The 24,344-nt window shown below is 36.7% G+C and overlaps 2 protein-coding genes across 14 annotated transcripts in view, besides 3 other annotated features; one reads left to right on the forward strand and one right to left on the reverse strand.

The window, feature by feature from the left end:
- TMX3 (thioredoxin related transmembrane protein 3) overlaps positions 1 to 17,600 on the reverse strand; it is a 41,421-nt gene extending 23,821 nt beyond the window's left edge. For 5 of the 10 annotated variants that reach the window (XR_935227.3, NM_019022.5, XM_011526034.4 and 2 more), the window contains exons 1-7: positions 17,428 to 17,600; positions 16,338 to 16,392; positions 13,856 to 13,895; positions 12,513 to 12,636; positions 4,237 to 4,282; positions 2,897 to 2,977; positions 424 to 523 (exon numbers count right to left, since the gene is read on the reverse strand). Coding sequence is in view for 9 of the 10 variants with exons in the window: in NM_019022.5 (NP_061895.3) it covers positions 424 to 523; positions 2,897 to 2,977; positions 4,237 to 4,282; positions 12,513 to 12,636; positions 13,856 to 13,895; positions 16,338 to 16,392; positions 17,428 to 17,473 (492 nt within the window). In the remaining variant the exon portion in view is untranslated. Of the gene's footprint in view, positions 1 to 423; positions 524 to 2,896; positions 2,978 to 4,107; positions 4,160 to 4,236; positions 4,283 to 12,512; positions 12,637 to 13,855; positions 13,896 to 16,337; positions 16,393 to 17,427 lie in introns of all 10 variants that reach the window. The other 5 variants (NM_001350514.2, NM_001350513.2, NM_001350517.2 and 2 more) reach the window with 4 other exon arrangements.
- Positions 17,248 to 17,347: a silencer, noted in NCBI's record as "silent region_9536". NCBI's record gives its function as "represses an Ori minimal core promoter by ATAC-STARR-seq in GM12878 lymphoblastoid cells {active_cell/tissue: GM12878}" and the evidence as "EXISTENCE:reporter gene assay evidence [ECO:0000049][PMID:35858748]".
- Positions 17,528 to 17,657: a silencer, noted in NCBI's record as "silent region_9537". NCBI's record gives its function as "represses an Ori minimal core promoter by ATAC-STARR-seq in GM12878 lymphoblastoid cells {active_cell/tissue: GM12878}" and the evidence as "EXISTENCE:reporter gene assay evidence [ECO:0000049][PMID:35858748]".
- The window catches only part of CCDC102B (coiled-coil domain containing 102B), a 342,906-nt gene continuing 336,269 nt past the window's right edge, over positions 17,708 to 24,344 (forward strand). For 3 of the 4 annotated variants that reach the window (XM_047437804.1, XM_017025973.2, NM_001093729.2), the window contains exons 1-2: positions 17,708 to 17,853; positions 19,020 to 19,086. Coding sequence is in view for 1 of the 4 variants with exons in the window: in XM_047437806.1 (XP_047293762.1) it covers positions 17,840 to 17,848 (9 nt within the window). In the remaining 3 variants the exon portion in view is untranslated. The remainder of the gene's footprint in view (positions 17,854 to 19,019; positions 19,087 to 24,344) is intronic. The other variant, XM_047437806.1, reaches the window with a different exon arrangement.
- Positions 17,858 to 17,927: an enhancer, noted in NCBI's record as "active region_13473". NCBI's record gives its function as "activates an Ori minimal core promoter by ATAC-STARR-seq in GM12878 lymphoblastoid cells {active_cell/tissue: GM12878}" and the evidence as "EXISTENCE:reporter gene assay evidence [ECO:0000049][PMID:35858748]".

The following is a 24,344-nucleotide window of genomic DNA, read 5'->3' on the forward strand; positions in this document are numbered from 1 at the left end:
CTGCAAATAAAGTTCATTAAATATAACACAAGTTCAATTTGTATGTATTCATTTAATTATAAATTAGACAAAATGATGGTGATGATTATAGGAAGATATGTGTGTATACACACATACAAAGTCTGCAGTCTCAAAGACTCAGAATTTGAAAAAGCAACACAAGACTTAAATAACCAGGTTAATAACAGAAAAAAATGCTAAGGCAGGCAACATTTACTCACTTTTTACACACTTCTGTTTCATATAGGAAAACATGACAGAAGGTATAGAAGGAAGTGTTTTTATTATAAGAAATGCTTAGAATGAATGAAAATATTTCCAGTAAGTGCAGAGTAATAAGTTCTGCGTTTCTAGTGAAGTCTTGATTATAGAGTAAATTAAATTACAATACATCTGTTTTTGTGGATTAAAAAAAAGTCTTACTTTCAAAGGTGATTCTCCACCTACATAAACGAAAAATACACGGTGTCTCTTCTGCATATGTTCAAACATTTGTTGACTTGGAAGTGGCCGAATTAGAGCCCTGTTGCACAACAAAACAAAAAACAAACTTGAATTATAAACTAAAGTACATAATTTACTATTTATACTATAACTAATCATGTCTCAAGTTATTAAGTTTCAATAATATATCAACTGCATTTTAAGTATATCACAAAATCCACATGAATATAATAAAACTGTGGTCCATGACTACTATTGCACATACATAAAAGGTTAATATAGTACCCACAATTTAATCTATCAGTTTCAAAATAAGTGTCAAAACATCCATTCAGAGAGTACCATCATTACTAGTATTTTGATGGGCAAAAAGAGAAGTATTGTCCATTTAGAATCCTCAGCCTAAAACAAGACAATTCCCAAGAGAGTTATTTTTTTCTCCCTTTCAAAAGATCATTCACAAAAACACTGTGAATACCATCCCAGGAATATACAGTACTTCATTAAGAATATTTGTATCTTACTATGTCAATTTAAATGGTATATACTTTTTAAGTACCCTATGGAGGTTAAAATCCAAAGAGTATAAAAAGCATATCATTAATCATTTACAGAAAAAATAAAATAGAAAATGATAGTCATAGCACTACATAAGAACCTCATGAAGAGAAAACAAAAAATGTTATACAAGCATTTTTCAAAGCAAATAGATTGAGCAATGAATTACGTCATAGGTTATTAAGCGTGTCAATTATAAAATATCATTAAAAAACTAAGAAGAGGGCCGGGGGCGGTGGCTCATGCCTGTACTCTCAGCACTTTGGGAGGCCGAGGCGGGTGGATCATGAGGTCAGGAGGTCGAGACCATCCTGGCTAATACGGTGAAATCCCGTCTCTACTAAAAATACAAAAAAAAAAAATTAGCCGGGCGTGGTAGCGGGCGCCTGTAGTCCCAGCTACTCGGGAGGTTGAGGCAGGAGAATGGCGTGAACCCGGGAGGCGGAGCTTGCAGTGAGCCGAGACAGCGCCACTGCAGTCCAGCCTGGGCGAAAGAGCGAGACTCCGCCTCAAAAAAAAAAAAACCAAAAACTAAGAAGAGGTAGTCATCTTTTACATATGGTGTGTATATTACAATACATAATTTTCACTCTATCACATTTATAAAAAGAACATAGAAAGGCAAATACATTTTCAAAATTCTTTATGATGCATTGCATCATCACTCTACCCTAGCCTCAATTTTAATACTTAGTAACTAAATGTAAGTGATGCAACTCCAGAACTGACTCCTGAAATTTCATCTACAATAGTCATCTCCAATTACATCAGGAGAATCCCTTCTTAAGCCTAAACCAAAACTCATTAAAAATTTCTCAAACATAATGACTAATATAAATCCTGGGAGGATTCAGTACCTCCCGCTAGCACTCCCCTCATACAACATAAAGTTATTTCAAAATTTATTTATTCACAAAGGAAATCAAATGAAACACGGTCGACAAGAAAATACAGTGAAAATTACATTAGTAAGCACCACAAACTTTAATATATAAAGATCACTCCTAATCCTCTGAATTGTCTCAAATAATTTGAGACAGTATTGTGCCACCAACAAACTCATTTTATTTTAATTTACCTTAAAGCTATTTAAAGCTATCAGTATAATATATCCCATTAAACTCATAAGTGCCTATACTTTAAAGCCAATAAAGATTAACACAGCTTGAACATTCTCAAGAACTTTCACATAATCATGTGAAATAATTATAAGCACCGACTTTCTTTATATCCCATCAAAATGTAGATTTAAAAAAATCAACGACAAATTCAAACCAACAAAAAGTGCTTACAGAGGAATTTGTTTCCTTATCAGTAAAACCTTAGGGATCGGTAACTTGAACAGATCCTTTGGGTTTTAACTATGTCACATTCTAAGTATAAAATGCACGAATACCTCACAGCTGGCAGGAAGCAGTATGTGATAAATAAGGAAAAATATTTTAGCTGTATCTAAAATACATTTTCGAGTATCAAAGAGTATGGATGAAAGCCCAAGTCTGTTCAGAACAATAATATCCCAAGGCTTTGTTGAAAACTCTGAACCAGGCAGTCCAAAAGCAAAATTATCATAAAATAAAAATTAAGATTCACAGAGTTGCTACACGTAATCGAAATCTGGAAAATGTATTAAAAAATCTCTGGGGAAAATTCTTCTATAGACAAAATGAATTTAAATGTGAGGTTAACAAGTATGTAATACAAACCATGGTCTCTTTCTTTAAAGTATTTCTTTGGATACGCTGTATAATCCTATCTTCTCTCATAAGTAAATAATCAAATAAATTTTACCTAGGTATGTCCTTAAAATATGTTTGTTCAATACAGTCTATTAAAATATATTTAATTTTCAAATATTAATAACATACAGTAAAGGCCTTTCCTAATAACTTACCCAGATACTCTGTGAGCAAACTCAATAATATCATCTTTTGTTCGTGGTCCTCTATAATTATATGCCAAGTCCCCTTTTAATCTTTAAAAAAAAAAAAAAATTAAAACCTGGATTGTTCTAACAGTTTTAATATTTAATGTTAATCATTATCTATTGTTTCATAAAATTATATTACATAAAATAGTAAATGCAGAGAAGTTTTAGAAGTAGCTCTCATGTAAAATATGGTAGACATTAGGCTTGCCAGAGGACCAGTAACACAAAAGAAAAGAGGCTGTATTCTATTAAAATTACATGAAAATATCTTACTCTGCATTTGATAACTGCATTGTATCTACGCCTTCTGAAAAATAATCTACACATTCATGGTCAAGAGCTTGGAAAATTAAAGTACTATAATTCTCATTACCTTCCCTGTCAAAAGGTAAATGAAAGGACAGGGAAATAAGAGTATTTTAGAAGAGGCAAAACAAATGTTAAGCAATACAACATGACAGTTACTTGATGCTCCAACATTACAGAGTAAAACGATGCATTAAAAACAGCTCTTCTAGAAACGTACATAATTCTTCAAAAGCCAACCAATGAATTAATCTGTGTGCCTAATTAACTAAAATTTTAAAAAGGAAAAATTGGGAAGCACAACAGAATACCTACAATTAAACAGAAGGAAACGAAAGGATGATTTACTTAACACAAAAAGTAAGAGGCTAAGCAAACATTTTTAAAAAGTGGGGGAAGGAAAAAGGTCGACACAAAACCCAATATATAAATTGAAATTACTCAAATTTAAAAATTTGAGATGTTAAAATATTTTTTAAACTTACGTTATTATAAAAATAACTTTCCGAACAATTCCACAGCTCCCCACATTACCAAAATAAGATTAATGAAAATCATGAGAAAATTCAATGAAGTCATGATAAAACAAGTCCTTTAGAATTATCACATTTCTTTCAACTTGTACACTTTATTAGACTTGATCAACACCTACAGATTAGAGTATCATCAACTTTGATTCTGTTTTTATCTCACAATCCACACTTGAACTCCTCAAGGGTAAAAGACCTTTCATAATTTATGACTGTATACTTGTCCTGCACAGTGCGTGTCACACAGCAAGCAAAACACGTGAATTAGCCATAAACAACATGATTGCTTAAATACGAAGAAAAGCATAAAGAAGCAGTCCCTCTCCTTTAATTACATACTTCACCTATGAAGAATGGCCAAACCCCAATCTTCAATCCTCCAGGGAATCTACTAGAAATTAACGTAATAAAATGTAAGTAGAGTGAACTAATAAAAATACACATATAAACATACAACACTCAACTTACAGCTTAATTGTTGGATAACCTCGAACTCCAAACTCTGAAGCAATGCCTTGATAAGAAAAAGAATAAAGCATTCTAAATTTTTTTTAAATATGAGAAACTAGGTAACAAATGAGGCTTTTACTTTAAAAATAGAGATATTTATACAACCCATATAGATACGTTGTTTTTAAGTCTTAAGATTATAAAATCACACAAAAGAAAAAAACATGACATTCTCATAGAAAACAATTACTTAATAGTCCAATCTGTGACCTGCACAAAATACTATGACAAAATAAGAAATGCACGTCAAAAGAATAGTTAAAAATTTATAAAATACTTATTTTAAAAGATATACTGGTAAAAAAAATAAAAATAAAAATACGTAAGTACTTCTCATTTGACTTCATGTCCAAGACAAATATTTCTTCTAGGTCTCATTTACTCCTCTCAAAAAAAAAAAAAAAAAAAAAAAAAAGCCCATCTCTTCTTTTAGTGTTTTTTGAGTTTTCAAATAACTGCAGTGTATTCTAATTTTAAAAGCATAACTTGTATTTGCAAAATTAATTACTATGGTCAACAGAGGATCGAAAAGCAACTTTGTTTTAGGAGTTTCTGCTTTTGTGATAACCTAGAGTAATTTTAATTATCTCAAAGATTATTCTGAAATCCTCACATGAATTAAAATGAGAATAGTTGCTACAATATCATCTTCTGCAGGGAAAGGAGAAATAGTAACAAAAACAAGCAAATATAAAGAGGGAAATAAGACCTTAAACAGTAGAGAAATCATATGCCAAATTAATGCAACACTACTTTACAGACAAAACGCCACCAGGACAGGAAAGAAGAAATAAAATATTCTCAGTTAACACACGTTATACCATAAAGATATTTACAAAACTATACACTAGTATATGAAAAGTCCACTGTATTATTCACATGATCTTTCCCTTTATAATTGTCTTTGTTTCCAGGGTATTTTGTTATCACACTTGGGTAAGGAAGCTACTACATCTGAATTCCAATTTAACAATCACTTTAGTAATCTTCACTAATCTTTGGTTTCTCATCAACTCACCAATTCAATTCACAAGAATAAGGGCAGTCGATTTGTGAAAATATCCAAAATTTTTCCTTCATTTGTCAACTCTAGTTTCTCCCTTAAACATGGAGATAGGTAAATAGAGGGACCTGGACAGTGGCCGACACGTATCTTCCTAAGAGGTAGCATAAACAGCAGAGGTAACAATTAAGAACTCAAGTTCTGAAGATACAGGTCCTGCTTCTGAACAGACATGCAAACTCAGAGCAAGCACATAATTTATTTGTGCCCGTCTGTAATCTAGGACTTCATTCTGTCAAGTATGTTCTAATTGGAGACTGTGGGTATGGAGACTGCTTTCTTCCCAGCAAAAACACAGAAACTACTTTGGGGAGATTATGTGAATAACGAATATTTTTAATGACCCCTTTCCAAATTAAGAAGACAGGGAAATAAAATCCCTTATTACCTTCAATTAAAACTCATTTTAAAAAACTGTCAAAACATAAGGACTAATATAATTGATTGGGGGACAAAGTTATATTCCACTAGTAATCCCTTTGTATAACTTAAATTATATCAAAATGTATTTATACACAAATCAAATAAAGAAAATACAGTATGCAATCAATGAGAAAACACACTGGTCATGCTTCATAGCCTGATATTGTGGATCCCATGATAAGCCTCAGAGAGAAAAATCCCAGCTCCACACTTAACCCTATTACATCATTTCCTCGACCTCAGTATTCACATCGAGACAATGGAGATCTATCACCCAACCCACATCCCTTGGCTTCTTGACAGTTAACATTAACCTTCGCTTCTGACATAATTTTAATTGACAGTAACTTCTATAAAACTTCAGTCTTAGATTCCTCTAAAAGGGAATGACAGTATAACATTTAAAAAAAGCCTTTGGGAGGCTGAGGCCAGTGGATCACAAGGTCAGGAGATCAAGACTGTCCTGGCTAACATGGTGAAACCCCGTCTCTACTAAAACTACAAAAAATTAGTCGCGCGCGGTGGCGGGTGCCTGTAGTCCCAGCTACTCGGGAGGCTGAGGCAGGAGAATGGTGTGAACCTGGGAGGCGGAGCTTACAGTGAGCTGAGATGGAGCCACAGCACTCCAGCCTGGGTGACAGAGTGAGACTCTGTCTCAAAACAAACAAACAAACAAACAAAAATTTAAAAAAAAGCAAACAAAGCGGGAGTTATAAACACATAATGACCCCAGTTAGGACTCTAACTTCATTTATCGCCTATGTAACTCTGGATGTTTTTGTTTACTTCTCTGATTCCCCTTCTGAGAATACTACTCATCTCGTAGGGCTACAGGTTGGGATTTTAAAACGAAAAAATAGATGGAACACAATCTGAGTCTAGCACATAGAAGATTCTTAAATGCTAGATCCTTTTCCTTTCTACTCTTGATCCTGACTTCATTAATTAGCTGCTGACACATCAATGCACACATAGTATTAATAAAATTAATGTGCAGAATATTTTATAACTGGCGTTAATATTTTAAAATTGCACCTCAAAACAAATTTGTGAGGAGGAAAAACTAGTGGCAATTCAGATTAAGAAACTAAAATAGGAAGATTCGGTAACTCGTTTGAGAGCAAACAATTTTGTAAGGAAGAAAAAAAGGTAATTCAGATAAAGAAACTAAATCAGGAAGATTCGGTAACTCTTTTGAGAGCAAACAATTTTGTAAGGAAGAAAAAAAGGTAATTCAGATTAAGAAACTAAAACAGGAAGATTCGGTAACTTGTTTGAGAGCAAACATTGATTAGGTAGCGGGGCTGAGATTGAAACTCAGTCTAATTGACTTTAAATTTTTTTATTCTTTACTTTTTCATATTAGAGAGAAATAGTTTATATAGAAATCTGAGCTCAATTCCTTCATAAATTGAAGAGTCCATTTGCAACAAGAGTTATAGCTTTGAAGTTTTACGATTTTAAATGTTTATAAAACAAGATTCAACATGAAGTCTTCTACTTCATTTCTATTTTCTTCTTGAAATGGTAACAGTTTGATGCTAGAGGTAAGTAGGAATGTGAATCATGGTGATCTTGGATACTAGGCCTAATTCTGTTTCTAACTTTGATGTGCAAAATTACTCAGTCATTTCACTTCTAGTTACCTTGTTATTTCATCTATAAAATGGGAAAGGGCGAAAGGAGTCAGGAGTTACTCAACCTCTAAAGTCCTTTTTAGCTCAAGGATACTACCTGTTTTAGTATTTACTGAATGTCACTATGTGTCTAACATGAAAAAGGTATAACATATGGCAGTGGTTTACCATCAACTGAAGACACTTTGTTTTCTAAAAACAGTGAGTAAGGGGGTAGGAGGAGATTGGGAGAGAACACAACTGGTATCTAGTGGGCAGAGGTGAGGGAAGCTCCTAAACATCCCACAATGCACAGGATTCCTCCTCCCATCCAACTCCCAACAATAACCCCACAGAATTATCTGGTCCAAAATGTCAATAGTGCAAGGCTGATAAACCCTGAAACACAGTCACTGACTTCCTCTGCACCAAAAACAAACAAACAAAAAAACCCACAGAACTATCCAGCCCAAAAATGTCAATAATGCAAGGCTGAGAAGCCCTGAAACAGTCACTGACCAAAAAGAGTTTATAATCTAGAAAGGCAAAATTAATTTTTAACTACAATCTACGAACAAGATGTCAGAATGTTATTGGCCAAATGTCATTCCAAATTTACACATGAAAGAGAGCTAAAATGTGATCTTTATCATAAAATGATGTCACACTTAGGTTGGAGAGTAACAGAATTTCAGTGGTTCCATAATAAAGATCAGCATGCCACTACAGGTAATATTATGTCATATTTTAACTTCCAAATGAGAAATATTTTAGCACTCATTTTGAAGAGGTATGTACAAAAAGAGAAGCTAAAACACCTATCTGAATTTACACTGGACATAATTTTTATATTATTTGGTTATGGTATTAGTTAAATCCATGCATCAAGACATTTTGGTACAATTCCAAACACAGACTAGACTAAGTCATAATAGTTCAAATTTCTCTAGTTCAAAAATTCTGTACACACAGATTTGCTGGACTGAGTCTGATGGCATTTGCTTCCAACCACTGCAATGATTTAATACATGATTGAGAAATGAGTTATTATCAAAGACTCCTAGAAATGTATATAAACTTGATCACTTTGAATAGTCTTATCTCACCCCGGACTAAAACCCTGTAACTCTCTACCAAAATAACATTCTACACTTTGTGGTTTTCCAAACTCAGTGTGCAGTGGAATCATCTGAAGTGCTGCTAAAAATACAGACTCTCGGCTGGGCACAGTGACTCATGCCTGTAATCCCAGCACTTTGGGAGGCCGAGGCAGGCAGATCACCTGAGGAGGACGGCAGATCACCTGAGGTCAGGTGTTTGGGACCAGCCTGGCTAACATGGTGAAACCCCGTTTCTACTAAAAACACAAAACATTAGTCGAGTGTGGTGGCACATGCCTGTAATCCCAGCTACTCGAGAGGCTGAGGCAGGAGAATCACTTGAACCCGGGAGGCGGAAGTTGCAGTGAGCCAAGATTGCACCTTTGCACTCCAGCTTGGGCAATAAGAGCAAAACTCTGTCTCAAAAAAATAAAGAAATAAAGAAATAAAATAAAAGAAATAAAATAAATAAAATAAAAAATACAGACTCTCAAGACCCAATTGCAAAGATTTTCACTGTTCACCAGTAGGACTGGTGTGGGCCTTCAGAATCTGAACTGACAATAAGTACCCAGGTAATTCTATTGCAGGTCGTCTACAGATTACATGCTGAGGAACAGTGATACCGCAACTGTCTGAAAAGCAACCTACTGGCCGCAAGAGGTATCTATGAAACAGCCAATCCTTTAGTGTTCTACAGGTAGACTTAGAATAACAATGGCAGATGACTTGAAAGTAATTCCATTTTTTACCTGTTTGATTCCAAGTTCTACTAAAATGTCTGTATTTCAACTGCCTTAAAAATTTAGGCAAACTCTGAAATTCACAAGGCAAAAATCTGTTTGTAATATGTGAACGGTGGTTTTGAATACTTAACTTCTTTAACACTAGGAAGAAAGGTTGCTTCACTACACATAACACATTCCCTTGGTGCTAATATTTAAGTGGATAATGCTTCCATCACTGACATTTAACTCTAATAATGGTCTAGAAAATAACATTAGACAATTGACTTATGTTCACAAGTTACTGTTTGTCTCTTCCCACAAGAATATAAGTTCCATAAGACTAGAAAGTTTAATCTGTTTTGCTCAATGATGTATCACCAGTACCCTGGTATGTGCCAGGCATATCCTAACATGGTAAGCACATTAAGTGTCTGCTAAATGAATGAATGCTAACTCCACAACTTTTCTACAAAGGGACTTTTTTTTTTTTTTCAATTAACTATGTTTGGATAATTCAAGTAGGCTTTCCAAGCAAGCCACACTATCCAAGGTCGGGGGCAAGTAGTTGAGAGAGGGGGATGGTGGAGGTTTATCCATATCCAATGAGTAAAAAGTCGCAACCTGTATATGAGGTCTTACTACTGCTTTTTAAAAATAGCATTTAAAACACTTTCTTCTCTAAGTGTCTCAGGAAAACAATCTTGGCTATGTTTTTCCCTAATCATAGTGCCACTTAATAAACAGTAGTACACAGGGGCACTTAATACTGAATAAACTAATGAATTAGATACAATATAGAATGTGACAATGAAAATTGTTAATTATCAATGAAGTATTACATGAACACTTTACCACTAAGACTTTTACTGGTTTATATGCACTATTTTTCTCATTGACTGTTTATCTTCATAGTCCCACATTCCTTTATACATGACTCGATGACTCCACTGACCTATTCAAGTGATCACAGCAATTTGCCATTTTTGAGACTTACTGCTCTTGTTGGTTTATTCATCTTTCTCCCTTTATTATGTTGTAAGCATTTCCAGGACAAGCAAGATTTGTCTGGATCTTTCTTTAATCTCTAGAGATTAGCACAGTGTTTGACAAATAGTACTTGGTAAATATTGATTGAGTGAATACATGAATAAGCGCATCTATGAATAAATATGTGTATGCACATCTAATCAACATATATATGTGTGTATATGTGTATATATGTGTATATATATGTGTATATATGTGTATATGTGTACATATATGTGTATGTGTATATATGTGTATATATATGTGTATATGTGTATATATGTGTATATGTGTATATATGTGTATATATATGTGTATATATATGTGTATATGTGTATATATATGTGTGTATATATATATATGGAAACAAGAAATTACTTTCATGAGCAACAGTGGAAAACGATAACTTCTTAGACATTGTTAAAAGCTTATTTCAAAGAAATATCAACTCAAACATATTATTCTCCCTCTCTAACAATTTCTGCCATTTATCTCTTCTCCTCTCAAAATTTCAACGTTTCATTTGGGTGACTCAATAATTCCAGCACTAATATCTCACCTACACTGTAGGTCCCTATTCACAAACATCAGTTAAAAGACCACAAATTCAAAATCATTGGTAACTTAGAAATGCACATAAAATTAAAACTGATATTTTGTATATACCCAGTGGTAGCATAGTTCAGCAACTATGCTAGGAATCTCACACTATTATTGTTTTCTTCACAGTACAAAGCCAACCAATCTGTTACTTCTGTGATTTTAGTATGGGACATGTCTATGAAAATTACCGTTTCCATTGTACTCTACTGTCACCACCCACAACAGCAGGCTCCCAGCATCCAACACCAGGATATATACACAAGGCTGACTTAGATGATCTCCCTGTTTCTACAAACTCTTTATTTTCCATCCTAAAAGCTGCTGACAAAATTATTTTTATCAAGTCATTGCCTTCACAAAAATGTGTATTACCTCATACTGACAAGTGATAAAATCCAAAACACTGCCTGACCTGGGAAGCTCTTAACAATGTGGCATTATCCTTTAGTGTCATATACGTGCAGCCATTGTGCTAGGGGGTTTTAAATACAAGATATTAACATGATTTCCACAACCTTGAGGATTATTACTCTCCTTTGTAGCTACAGAAACTAAAATTAAGAGAGGTTAAGTGCTTCCCAAAGCTACAAAAGTAGGACATGGCAAAGTTGAGATTAAAACATAGCTCTGTCTTGCTCCAAAGTAAAATTGCTGATTTCCTAAAACGAAATATACATTACGTACTTCCACTTTCTTCACTAATGAAAGAGAAACTGCAGGTATTGAATACAAAAGATTTTATATCTGCTGGATCATTCAAACCTCAAAACCACCAATAAAAGAAGCATTATAATTAAGTATTTATCAATATGGAAACCAAAGATTGGTTTGTTCAGAAACTTTCTCAGTGTTACACAGCAAAAGTAGCAGGCAGAGCGAGGATTTGAATCAAAATCTGCTCTCTGAAAGCCATGCTCTTTCCAAATTCTATGATACCTCACACTTCTCTAAATTTAACTTCTTCTTTTTCCCAAATCCTTTAAAACAGGTGTCGGTATAAAAGGTCAGATAAATATTTTAGGCTTTCTGGGGCATACAGCCTCTGTCACAACTACGGAATTCTGCCATGGAGGCACAGAAACAGCCATAAACAGATAACAAATAGCTATGCTTCAATCTAACTCTATTTATAAAAATGGGTAGTAGGAGAAATTTGGCCTACAGACCAAGGTTTGCTCACCTTCACTTCATTCTATTCTCTAGTACACACTCATTAACCTCTTTCACACTCTATTATTTTGCTCTAGTATTCTTTCTAATGTGAAAAGCTTCCTGATCCTCACTTGTACTCACCCTAACTCAATTCGTCCTTTAAGTTCCCATTTTTTCTTTACAGCACATCTCAGGCTACTCAGAAAAAAACGGATTCTGAACTCAAGTAGCAATATCAATAGTTTAACACTCATCCTTTTACAGCTGCCTCATATAAACCATCTGAAGTGGGCTCAAAGGAGAAAGGATGGTTTAAACATCTGTTAAGCATAAGATTAACACACACTACACGCTACATGTTCAATGGCTAATTCATTTAACTCATAAAGTATACAGTCTTAAATTATTAAGTTAATTGAATTTTACATGAGCAAAAAAAAGTCTTCCTCCCACCCTGAATACTGTTGCATATAAATGTTTTTGCTGTGAGAACAGTAAAATAATAAACTAAGTGAAGGCTTACTAGAATAGGAAGTAGCATCCATCTTTCCAACCTTAACTGGAGAACCAATGCTTTTCATCTCAAGACCAACTTCATTCCAAATTGGTTCCAGCTTTTTACAATGGCCACACCATGGCGCATAAAACTTGTTTTAAAAAAACAAACAACAAACAAAAAAAGATAACCATTAAAATGTTGTGCTACAGTAAATATGAATCTTAATATTTAAAGAATCCCTTTGACTAAATGATCTAATAATGTTTTAGACAAGAAGTTTAAATATAATTTTTAAAGTAGATACATAATGAAAGATCAAAACATACAAACATAAACCTAGATACCTCAAAACCGGTACTATCTTAAGCTCATTTTAATTGACTACTGATTTAAAACAGATATACAATTTACAATAAAAATGTCTTTACTTCCAAGGAAATGTTCTATATGAAACGTTTTATATAAAATGAATCCACAAAATAAACATATATATACAACATACACACCTAATTGTTAATGATAATATCAATCTACTTCTATTACAAAAATGTCAACATAGTAGGTGACTTTGCTGAGTTCTATTGTAACCACTGGCAAGAAGGGGAGGTCATTAAGATGACTGGTTTGGCATAGGGACAAGCCAGGTTGATTAAACTGAAGTCAGTCTTTTACTCTTCTTTAGAATTACCAGATGGTGGAGGTGATACTCAGGTTCCCCTAATTAAGTGATGTTACAAACTACTTGTTATATTTTCATGAAACAAGATTTTTTAACTTTATACTATGAAAATGTTCAAACATACAGAAAAGGAGAAATAATTAAACAGTGATCTGTCAACTCTGCCATTCTTTTTCCATCTCTTTTGCTCCTATTCTACTTTTTGCTGAGGCATGTTAAATCTCAACTATCATAAGGTTTAAATATATTCCAAACTTTAAAGAAAGGAAGGTGAAACTTTAATTTTGTCCACTGTTAAGATGAAAATATGACTTTGACTAAGTGATATTAATATACTCAATCTCTTGGAAACTATCAAGAAAGCAAGAGTGAATTCTGTAATAAAATCATACCCTATATCATTAAGATATAATCCAAAAGTTGACCTCATTGTAAGACAGGGTTCCAGCTTTTCCTCTTAATATTCTCACCCCCAAAATTTCATCAAAAATACGTTCCCTCGCATGGAACCTTAAAACTCTAAGGTTCTTTTTAATGTAAAATCTCAAATATAGTAATACTTAAGAAAACAAATTGAGTATATACATAAGCACTAGCTGTTTACTGCCATTTTTGGGTAGAGTAGAATAGAAAATAATACTTAAAATGGTAGGGGTGGGTAATTAGCATATAAAATTTACATACTTACATCTACAAGCCAAATGTCATCATTTCGATTTTCTTTAAACCTAAAAAACAAGAAAACAAATGTTTGATTGTATGTTTGTGTCCACTTTACAACTGTATAGTATAGGCAGAGATAATACATTGATAAATATAAGGGAAAGACCCAAATTCCTTCAATAATACTTTACATAAAATTTTTACTCAGTGACCTATCCATTAAACATCTCAAAGATAAAAGCAGAGGACTGATCAATGATAAAGTAATTAGGAGGAAAGACTCCAAGAAAAAGAATTAAAGTAGGACTTGGTAGAAACACAAACAGATGCCTAAGCTCCTTGCCCTTCTAGAACATTTTACACCTGTTTAGAAAAGGTACCAAAGGAAGCCTGAGGCTGCTATGCTTAGAAATAACTGTTTCTAAGAATGGTCCTTGGTTGGCATCTGGGAACTTGGATTTTAGAAGTGTTCTCACCATTTCCTGGTAATGATGGCTCAGTGTTCATAAAATGCGCGTGAGAAATATTGGATTGAGGAATTCCTGTGCTGGGATCCCAGATCACTCCCCTGAAGATGTGCAGTCCAGCAGGGGTACTGTACCTTACCATCAGCTGGTCAGGCCCAACCTTTAACTGTCCCTTAAAATGTTCAACCACCCTGCGGATCAGAGTTTACAGCATATGACGAGCCCATTGTTTCACCCATAATTGGGCTCACTGATGTGTAGCTTGGGCCAAAAATCCAGGGTCATTATCAGATGCAGTGTTCTTAAGGTAACTGAACAGGAAACAAAGGTGGTCTTGTAGGGCCTAGACAGTGTGGCCCAAGTCATTGGAACACATAGGAATGGCTAAGCGAAACCCAGAGACATGTCAGCTGCAATCAGGAGCCACAGGAACATTACAGACAGAATGAGAGGCCCACCATGTTCTATCTGCTGAGAATATCCTGGCCCACTGGCTTTATGAACCTGTCCCTGGACAGTATTGTTAGCCTTGACCGGGGTCTGACAAGCAAGCAGCTTTTTCACGTTGTTATGGTGTCTTCTCACAACTGTCGCAGTCCATGCATTCTTGCCCAATCTGGGATCCTGTCTGAATTTCCATGAGCCATCTCTTGTGGATCCCGGAGGCAACTGGTTGCACATCTGCTTGCTCTGGAGCAAGGAACAATTCATTTTCCACATTTAGCTGACGAACAGTTTGCTCTTGGTAAAGGTCCCCTTTTTCAGCATAGGGACCTTTCTGGTGAGCATCCACATGGGTAACAAAATGGTTATTAGGAGCAGAATCCCTTCCTCCTCCTCAGGAAGAGTTGCCCCTGTTAGGACACTCTGAAGGAGGAAGTCTGTAGTGACACACCCCACAAGGCACTAAGTTTAATAAGACTATCTCCTTGTTAACAATCGTTCTTCTCAGAATCAAAAACTTCCTGTAAACAATCAGTGAGCATCCCCCATGACCCAACAGCATGAGCAGCGAAGTGCCCCCATGGGACTGTCAGGATTTTTGCTCTTACAGAACAGCACTGTATGATCACCCTCTCACTGCACCCATTTGGTCATGCCATCAGGTGTCCAGGTAGTCAATCAGGACAACAAGCTAAACTGAAACTAACAATCACAGCTTTATTCACTTACTGTGACAGTGCAAGTCAAGAGGTTTAAAAAAAAAAAAAAAAAAAAGAGGCACCAGCTCCTCAGTGTTCCATCTCTCCCCATGAAACAGCACCAGGTGAGTCAGGTGGATGAGACACAGATGGGAGAATTCATCTCATTTCCTACAGCACTGAACAAAAGTCTTCTGTCTCTTTATGGGGGGTGAGAGAGAAAAGGACTAGAGTAGAAAAGTGCCTCCGCTGACACCCTCAATAAAGATGTTTTAGCAGAAGTGCTCAGGAAATGCCTCAGGTGAGGTCCCAATAAGGAGGCTGCTAAACAGAGACCACTGGGTTGGGAGTGTAGACATGCAAATGAGCGTGGCTGGCCTGGGAGGCCGAATCCTTGACTACCACTCCCTCCAGGGACTGTAATGCACCGGTTATACACCAAGTTTGGTGTAGGGAGGGCACCTTCCCCTATGCCAGAAAAAGCCTTGCAATTGTCTATGGTCAAGCCTGAAAGATCACACACAGGAATTTGGGTCTGAAGTGAACCTCCTCACTTACTATAAGCAAGGCTGATTAATGCTGTCATACTATGAAGATAAATACAGTACAGTTACCAAATTCTAACACCCATTCAATATAATTAAAGGAAAAAGACATAAATACAAGGTAAGATAATGAGGAAAAAAAGAATATGTAAAAGTTTGCCACAGTTTTTTGATCTCATAACTATTAATAAAACTCTTCTGGGCACACCCTCACCTTCACTTACAACAAGTGAAAAAAATGAGTGATATATAAAAATTGGTTCCAATCTAAAATATTAGAATCACATGCAAATATTCAGATATCTGAGTTGGACAGTTAAAATAATATTTTAAATATATATATGTATACTCACGATTCATCTAAATCTTCTACAAATCCTTTACAGACGACCATATCAAGTACAACAACTGAAAAAAAAAGACAAAATGTACACAATAAATGCTGATTATTTGGCTCATACCGTATAAGCTTAGTCATCTCTGAAGTGTTTTTGACCTTTCACAACCTACCAAAAAATTCATCACTGATGCATCCCAGGGTGCAAATGATGCAAAAGCAAAGGTAGTTCATCCATTTAATAAATATTTAGTCTGTATGCAACCATATCGTGACCGGCCAAGTTCTAGGTAAGCCAATAAATCTAATACACACAGTTCCTTTTTCCTCCATATTTTCACTCTCATCTTACGTCTCTTTTTAACCATCCTATCTTTTTGGAATACAAATAGACAGCATTCTTCTTTATTTCTTTTGCTTTAGTAGCAATTACCTCTTCCGTAAAAACTCCAAATGCCATTCAAAATATTTCCCCTCAAATAGATACGTAGGAAGAAAGTCGAGCTGCAACTCTAATACTTATTACACGGCAGTGCCTGACACAGAGTGGGCTCTAAAAGGTTGTTAAGTGAGCGGACCCCAGTGAGAATGAGGGCACTCCATGCTGACGGGAGGCAGCTGAGAACCGCTGACACACACTCAGGTCCTTTTCACACCGCACAATCCCGGCGGCCTGACCCTGATCTGTCCTCGACCACCCTCTCTTGAGTACTGGTGGTAAAAATCCTTAAACGTGACAAGACTCGGAACCTAAAGCCAAGGCAAGATTTGGTCGTTAAGCTGGGACGGCGGCATCCTTCTTGCCCATCAAAGGAGTAAGCTTTATTGAAACTTCTGCCACAATGAGAAAAACACAAACACAAGGCAGCGCGCCCTTCCCACGTCCAGCATTGGTCCGGCACAGCGGCGGCGGAAGGACCCCAAGGTGTCCGCTCCGTCAGGGCCAGGCAGGGTGGCGCGGCGGGGGCGGCAGGACGCTGCCGGGAATGGGTGGGCATCTCCACGAACCCCGCAGGCCTCGCCCCAGACCCGGGTCCAATCCCGGCCCCACGGCGGGGCCAGGTCCCACGCGCCCGCCAGCGTCCCGACCGCTGAGCCCCCATTACCTGTGGCGCAGAGCCGCAGGGCCGTCCAACTCTTCCACGCTGCCATGCTAGCCCGGGAGAGCTGCAGAAGCTGACTGTGCAAAAGAGGGATAAAGACACTGGGGTCCGCCGCCTGCCCGCCCGGAAAGGGAAACGGAGCCGACCCGGAGCGGAAGAGAAGCACCGCGCTAACTACGGGGGCGGGGCTACCCGGCCAGTCTCCGTCTCCGGCTATGCGCGGGAGTGCGGCGCATGCGAGGGGAGTGCGGCGCATGCGACAGCGCCTGCGCAGTCATGTCTTAAGAATCCTTTGCGCTCTCGGTGCCCCCCTCCACGCCCAGGAGCGTGGGAACCCTGCTTAAGGGCTTTACTAGGGAAAACGGTGCTGGTTCACTGGGGCGCGTTTCCGGGAAGGTGAATACCGGTGAAAGTTATGCTGAGGGTGAGGTAGGCTCTGACGACGCACTTGCAGGTTGAATACTGGCACATCATTTACTTGTTACTCCCGTGTGGTGAGTGCACCTGTGGGTTTTGATGCTGGATCAAATTCCTGGAAAGAGGCGCGCATTAAGACTGCGGATTGCTGAGCTGCGCGACACTCCGTATTTTTCCAAAACGTATTTGTAATATTCTTTCAACCTGTTTGCATAATGGGACATCTCTTAAATGCAGCAAGCTTTAATGCATTTTTGCCAAAGTAAGGATTGCCTCTTTAAAAACTTTCTCTTGAAACTTGAGAACATGAAGTTAAGCGTAGGATATTTTTTGATGGCTCTTTTCTGATTATTTTGGAACTAGATAAAGTAGTATGAAATATTTATATTGCTACCTGTTTTTTCTTCTATACGACAATGATTTGTAAAAACCATATACTTTTATAAGACGGTTACTGCAGCAATCACTACTTACGAACTAGATGAAATTTTTATGGGACATAAGGTACCAGAGAATTTAGATCAAACCAAATTTTGAAAACCTGTGACAACAACAGAAGGGGGATATGATGTCAGCCGGTTCACCTTAGGTTCAAAATTCCAACAGGCAAAAATGTCATAAAACGTCGTTATTCCTAGTGACTAGAAGATTAAATTGCACTCTAATTGAGAGCAAGCCCTAAATGTCACCCCCTTTGTGCATGCAGCATGGTATCCAGCGCAAGCCCTCTACAGATTCAATTTTTCTTTTTCTTTCTCTTTTCCTTTTTTTCTTTTTTTTTTAAGAAAAAAGTAGACTAAAACGTAAGGGGACTGTTGAAATGATGGGAATGTTCTCCCGGTGGTGGTGGAACAGCTTTATAATAGTACCATCGCCTCGATACTCTTATACAGAAGCTTTTCTACTTTCTTGGCAAGGTCTCTGAATGACCCATATTCAATTTTTTTTTTTCATTCTCATGTATTTCAAAGTTTTCTGTCTTCCACAGCATGCAAAGTGAAATAATTTCCTCTTATATTTGCGTTACAGTTTAAGTTCACATGTGGACAACAACAAAAGCCAGTTGACCTAGATCTGTGCTTTTCAGTAGTGTAGCCACTAACCACATGTGGCTATTGAGCTTTTGAAATGTGCCTAGTGTGATGAAATAACTGAATATTTATTTTTTTTAATTTCAGTAAACTCAAAAACTGACACTCGATTCAGCTATTGGAAAGTTTTTTTAATGTGGTTGGAACAACTGAGGTATGTGAATCTACTTTTTCAACTGTAAATTTTATGAAATCTAAATACTGATCAAGTCCCAGGCATGGGTGGCTCATGCCTATTATCCCAGCACTTTGGGAGGCTGAGGCAGGAGGATTGCTTGAGGTGAGGCGTCTGAGACCAGCCTGGTCAACACAGTGAGACCCCATCTGTACAAAAAATTAAAAAATTAGCCAGATGTGGCCTGGCGCGGTGGCTTACACCTGTAATCCCAGCACTTTGGGAGGCCGAGGCAGGTGGATCACGAGGTCAAGAGATCGAGACCATCCTGGCTAACACAGTGAAACCCCGTCTCTACTAAGAATACAGAGAATTAGCTGGGCGTGGTGGCAGACACCTGTGGTCCCAGCTACTTGGGAGGCTGAGGCAGGAGAATGCATGAACCCAAGAGGCCGAGCTTGCAGTGAGTTGAAATCGCGCCACTGCACTCCAGCCTGGGCGACAGAGCAAGACTCTGTTTCAAAAAAAAAAAAAAAAAATTAGCCAGATGTGGTGGCACACACCTGTGGTCCCAGCTACTCCAGAGGCTGAGGTGGGAGGATAAGTTGGGCCAGGGAAGTTGAGGTTGCAGCGAGGTGTGATCCTGCCACTGCATTCCAGCCTGGCAACAGAGCAAGACCATGTCTCTATAAAATAAATACCAATTAAGTATTTCTGATGAAATTAGAGACGTTGTAATGAGATGTACTATAAATGTAAAATATACACTGGATCACTGGATTGGGGAGAAAGTATAAAACTGTAAAATGTCTCAATATTTTTTACTGATAATATGTTGTGATGATTATAGCTTAGGTGTATTGAGTTAATTAAATTATTAAAATTAATCTCACCTGTTTTTATTTTTCAGTGTAGCTACTAGAAAATTTATAATTATATACTTGGTTTGCATTACATTTCCGTTGCACATCACTGATCTAGGCAATGAGAAAATGATCAAAATAATGCATTAATCTGAAAATGATTTAATAAACCAATAAACTTTTTAGGCTTTTTTGTTCAGAGAACATGCTAAATTTACATATGCTGGAACATATTCTGTGGTGAAAAATTTAAGTGTTTTTTTCTGCTTATCTACCTCAAGTGGTGATAATTTTTTTTGAGATTTAAAAGATTCTACTATTTTGACAACATTTTTTAAAAGACTTTCAGATAAGCTACATTTGTGTATATATATACCTTGTATATTTTGCATACATATTGCTGTAGTCTAAATGTGTAACCCAAATTTCATATGTTGAAACTTAATTGCCGGTATGATAACATTAAGAGGTGGGGCCATTTGGGCATGATTTAGTCATGAGGTGGAATCCTCATGAATGTGATTAGAGACCTTATAAAAGAGATTGAAGGGATCATCTTAGTCCCTTTTCTCCTTCAACCTTAAGCCATGTGAAAACACAACAAGAAGGTACCATCCTGGAAGCAGAGAGCAAACCCTTATCAGATACCACACCTGCTGACTCCTTTATGTGCAGCCTCCAGAACTTTAAGAAATAAATTTTTATTATTTATAAATTACCAAGTCTGTATTTTTTTGTTATAGAGCACCAACAGGCTAAGACACATGTCCTCACCAAAAGTCATATACAAGAATGTCTTGTCTATAGCAGGACAGTTTGTAATTGTGAAAAGCTAAACAACTCGAATGTCTAATAGTATAATAGAGTAGAATAGAAGATAAATTGTGCTGTAATCCTATAGTAAAGTGCTATATAGCAACGAGAATGAATGAACTTTTGTATGGAGAACTACGTGCAAATCCTAAACCAAATGTTGAACAGAAGAAGCCAGAAACTAAAGAAAGGTACTACATGATTTTATTTACGTAAGCTCAAAAGCAGGCAAATTAATCGTGTTAAAAGTTGGGATACAGGTAAACATCAGGTTTCTTGATCTGGGTGCTGCTTACAATGATACGTTCACATTGCGAAAATGTGTTGAGCTGTACCTTTCGGGTTTCTGTACTTTTCTGTGTTTGGGCCCTAATAAAAGCTTAAAAATAAGAATAAATAAAGCTACATACATTTATGTTTTTTAATGGATAGATATTATAGTTTTAACAGTGCTTCTCAAATTTTAAGCATCAGTTGCCTGGAGAGCTTGGTTTAATGCAGATTCTGATCAGTCCCTAGAGAATCTGACCCAGTGGGGCCCATCAATTTACATTTCTCAAGAGTTCCCAGGTGATGCTGTTGTTTCTGTCCTGCATGTCTCATTTAGTGGTGTTGAGGGAAAATAATTTCAGAAAATACCATTTCTTTTTAAATCACTTTGTGTAAAATATGCTTTAAAGAATGATGGAAGAAAAATCTGTTGTATATTGATTATAATCTTTATTTATTCAGTATACTAATTACGTTAAAAATACTAGAACCAGAAGAAGAGCATAAATATAGGCAGCAAAACTTAAAGAGATACAGAACAACTTTATGAAAATACATAAGAAAACTTAAAGTCATTGTTATTTGAAAAACAAAGCAAAACTTGTTCAAAAACTAAAACGACTTAATAATTAGCAAATAAAGGAATTGAATCAGAAGCTTAAAATTATACCATTAAAAATGAGACCCTATTGATTTTAAAATATGTGCTACCAATCTTTATGAAAACAAAAATTAATCTGTATCAGGATTCTCCAGAGAAAGAAAACCAAAGGAAGCTTTATTATGTGAATTGGCTTATGCAGCTATGAAGACCAAGAAGTCTTAATCTTCCATCTGCAAGCTGGAGAACCAGAAAGCCACTCCAAGTGTTTAATTCAGTCCCTCTGAAAACCTGATAATGAGGGGTCCAAAGGCCTGAAAACCACAAGTTAGTGATGTAAGTCATGGTGTGAGTCCCAAAGCCCAAGAACCAGGAGTAGTGATATCCAAGGGCAAGGAAAAGATGGATGTCTCAGCTCAAACACAGACAGTGAATTTACCTGCCCTCCATCTTTTTGTTCTCTTCAGGCTTTCAATGAATTGGATGATGCCCCCACCTCCCCCCACCCCCAACAAATTGGGGAGGCCATCTACATTACTCAGATACTCATTCAAATGCTAACTTTTCCCAAAAACATCCTCATAGACACGCCTAGAAATAATGTTTTACTAGCTATGTGGGCATCTCTTAGCCCAGTCAAGTTGAAACATAACATTAACCACACTGTTGTTACAAACACGTCCAGACAATCAAAAAATAGGGAACACTCACCAATTTCTTCAGAGGCTAGTATAAACTTGGTACCCAAACCAGAGGAGTCATGTGAGAATGGAAAACAAACAGGCCCATTTCACTTGTGAACAAAAATGGAAAAGTTCCCAATAAAATATCAAACCAAATCTAGCAGTTCACTGAAAAAGATAATAATCATGACCAAATTATTATTATTTTTTTGGTCCAGAAATGCAAGCCTTGGTTTAACTTGGGAAAAAAGTTTTAATGAAATTTTCTGCAGTAACACATAAGAGATAAAGAGCATATAATTATTTAAATAAATGGAATAAAAGGAATTTATATACTTCAACCTGTCATCAATAGTAAATTAGGAATAGGAAGGCAATTCTATGACATGTTGTGCTGTAAAGGTTAATATCCACCAATTCTAGAATTATCCTGAGATGTTTTGCTAAATTTCTTGCATAACACTAACACTGATCAATCACCAAAACCTGCTAATAATGATGCTTTTGTATCCATGGATCAAGGAATTTTCAGGTGGTTTTTACTTATTTGCTACATTGTTTATTTATTAATGTGAGATTGATTTGCATTTGGTCTTAGTGAAATCTCCATTGGGTTCTAGGATTGAGGCTGATTTTGCAGCAGTAATATACATATATGACTAGGAAAATATTTAAAAACTCAGGTGAGACTCCACCTTGTGTTCTTTCATTTTAAAGCGTTCTATGCACATGAACGTGGTTCCTGATCCAAGAGAGAACGTGCACTCATGACCCTTATAGAAAGAAGAAGCTAGACGCTTTCACATGGAATCTTTTACCAGACTCCTTGCTGGGAGAGTGACTTTGATCCATATCCTTATTTCAACACTGTTATTACATTGTATTCCTTTCCTGCATAGATTTGTAAGCATTGCTACATGAAGCCCGGTGAGTCTTTTTTAGCAAGTGAACTCTGTTTTTGTACAGTTGACGTTGGAAATGGGATTGCTTAGAAGACTCCTGACTCATATGGGCATAGTGGCTCACACCTTAGTCTCAGCACATTGGAAAGGCTAGGCAGAGGGTGGCTTGAGGTCAGGAGTTCGAGATCAGCCTGGGCAAACTAGCGAGCCCCCTGTCTCCACAATAATTTAAAAAGTAACCAGGCATGTTGGTCTGTCTACTAGTAATCCCAGTTGCTTTGGAGGCTGAGGGGGGAGGATTGCTGGAGGCCAAGAATTTGAGGCTACAGTGAACTATGGTCACACCCCTGCCCTCCAGCCTGTGGGACAGACAGACACCTTTAAATAAAAGACACCCAGAGACTGTGAGATTGCTCTTTCAGCCCAAGTTCCTACTCTCTCAGAACTCCTGATCAGTCATTTGTTAATAGCAACAATAATTACTAGGCATCTACTTAAACAGCATTTATTGGAGTATAATACATGTGCAAACAAGAACACATATCATTAGGGTGCAGGTTAATGAATTTTTACAAAATGAGCATGCCCATGTAACTGTTTCTTCTGATGATCTAGAAACAGAATATTGAGGCACCCACAAAACCACCCTTGTCCCTACAACCCTTGTCCCTTTCCAGTGCTCCTTTCCACCCTTCCCCTTTACTGCCTCTACCAGGGGAACCACTCTCCTGACTTCTGACAGGTCAGATTAGTTTTGAACTTGATATCAGTGGAATAATACAGGATGCACTCTTCTGAATCTGGCTTCTTTCACTCAACATGAAGCTTGTGAGCTTCATCCAGAAAAAATAAAAAAATAAGATTCCTGACTCATTTTTTGCTAAAAATATGACTTAAGCATTATTTAGAAATAGAAAGGGAAGAATCTGATAAAAGAGGATGAAAATATACTATTGATACAGAGGTGGTTGCCAAACTATGCTTGGTTGGAAGTAGCATAGTGTTTGATATTAGTTACTGATAATAAGACTTTCTGTTGCAATCTGGAAATGATAGCAACTGAATTCTAGAAGCTAGCAAAATTAGAAGAGAAATGCAAACTGAAGGCAAGCTGACTAAAATTCCAGTTTCTTGTTGTTGCTTTTAGCCTTAGCAAAAGCGAAAG

Source organism: Homo sapiens, chromosome 18, assembly GCF_000001405.40.
Source record: "Homo sapiens chromosome 18, GRCh38.p14 Primary Assembly".
Lineage (NCBI taxonomy): Eukaryota > Metazoa > Chordata > Mammalia > Primates > Hominidae > Homo > Homo sapiens.